Source organism: Homo sapiens, chromosome 6 (genome assembly GCF_000001405.40).
Source record: "Homo sapiens chromosome 6, GRCh38.p14 Primary Assembly".
In the NCBI taxonomy this organism is placed as follows: domain Eukaryota; kingdom Metazoa; phylum Chordata; class Mammalia; order Primates; family Hominidae; genus Homo; species Homo sapiens.
This window is the reverse complement of record NC_000006.12, coordinates 122,392,852-122,394,765: the sequence shown is the minus strand read 5'-3', so window position 1 is coordinate 122,394,765 and position 1,914 is coordinate 122,392,852. Positions and strand designations below refer to the sequence as shown.

Sequence of the window (1,914 nt, the reverse complement as noted above, 5' to 3'; positions counted from 1 at the left end):
GCTTAAGGACTCTTGAATAGGCTTTTGAGTAAGTGAAGAGCTAGAAGACTGTGAAAGTTAATTTTTAAAATTTTTCAAGAAGTTTTCTTCTTCTAAGGCTACAACCTGGGTGCAAAAGACACTAGCCAGAGGAGCTTTTTACATGGGAAATGTGTTAGTACTGCTTGTACCAGACTCGGGCTGGAACTGCTCTACATTAAAACTCCAATCTATGCCAGATTTGCTAGAATCCAATCAGTCATCCAACTAGGGTGACAAACTAGTTCAGGTTAGCACAATACATTTCCAGTTTTAATACTGAAAGTCCTATGTCCCAGGAAATCCCTCAGCCCCAGGCAAACCAGATTGTTTGATCACCCTAACTCAGCCTCTTCCAGTTATTTATGTTGGACAGGAAGCAGAGGCTCTTTAAGCAAAGCAAAATATTGTATAGCGACAATGTAGATACGGGATCTGGAAACTCTAATGCAGCTTTGGCCTTTCTGGAAGCAGTGCGGAGGCTCTCTTTCACAGGCACTCCAACAGCTAGCTGATAAATAGAAGGAATTGATGTACCCCTGCAACTCAAGGTCCCCGTGAAGGCTCAGACACACACAGAGAGATGTTGATAAGAAAGAAAATTCAAGGCTAAAAACCGTCAAGGACTGGAAACATTAGAAAAATGGAGTGGAATAGAGAAATGGCCTGCAATATAAGCCTTCCATTATTTCTACTAGAACAAAACCATGTTAGGGTTTAAGTTTCTACTTCACTGGGACTTGTCTTGTTCCAAGAGGAGGTGGTGTCCAAGATAGATGGAATGTGTTAGGAGTTTATCTTTCGGAAAATGTGGTTTAAGTCATCATTTTATTCAAATCATTTGATAACTAAGACCTTTGAGGTCCTCAAAGATGAAATGAGCTGAATTATAGGAATTGGATACAGAAATACACTCATGCTTTGAATACTAAACTGGAGAAATTGGGTTCAGTGAGGAGGCAGTCACTGTCACAGCTGTGTGTCATGATCTGAGAGGTGTCTGTGAAGAGCTGGTAACCACTGGGACATTTCTAACCTCTTTAGAGTTTAGTCATCTACTATGAGCAGCATCCACTTACCAGCCATAAAGAGAGATGACTTTTCTATTCTGTGCTCACAGCGTGGTGCAGTACAGTAGAGATGAAACAAAGGCTCAACCTGCTGCTTTCTGAGAAGGCATCCTAGGATAGAACTGAATGAATTCTGATCTTTCGGAGAAAAGTCTGCCATTGTCTGAATCAAGTAGTTGCTAGGACCTCTTAAAGATTTGCGGTTGGGCGCAGTGGCTCATGCCTGTAATCCTAACACTTTGGGGAGGCCAAGGCGGGCGGATCACAAGGACAGGATCAAGACCGTCCTGGCTAACACGGTGAAACCTTATCTCTACTAAAAATACAAAAAATTAGCCAGGCGTGTGGGACACGCCTGTGCTCTCAGCTACTCCGGAGGCTGAGGCAGGAGAATTGCTTGAACCCAGGAGGCGGAGTTTGCAGTGAGCTGAGACTGCGCCACTGCACTCCAGCCTGGATGACAAAGCAAGACTCTGACTCAAAAAAAAAAAAAAATTTGCTACTTAATGGCAGAACTCTTGATTTATAAAGCCCTTATATATGGTAATTGTTATATTTGCTATAATTTACTTTAAAATACTACAATTTAAAGAGGAGTATATAGTGTGGTAGTTAATTGTAATCTGCACCCTAGGGGCAGTCAAGTTAACAGTTGAAAAACCCGAATTAGGAAGGCATTCTCCAGGGGTGGTTAGTTAGCATATGAAAGACTAATCTAATGCTTTTCCTATGAAGATTTAATCTTAATGTTTATTTTTTTAATTAATACCAAAGTTTTGTTAACTAGGGCAATGGATGTGGAAATGATTTCTTTCTTGGTAAAATT

At 41.0% G+C, this 1,914-nt stretch overlaps 1 annotated feature.

The window, feature by feature from the left end:
• Nucleotides 915–1,533: an enhancer, noted in NCBI's record as "NANOG hESC enhancer chr6:122714378-122714996 (GRCh37/hg19 assembly coordinates)". NCBI's record gives its function as "activates a minimal SCP1, AML or CMV promoter by ChIP-STARR-seq in primed H9 embryonic stem cells {active_cell/tissue: H9 hESC(primed)}" and the evidence as "EXISTENCE:reporter gene assay evidence [ECO:0000049][PMID:30033119]".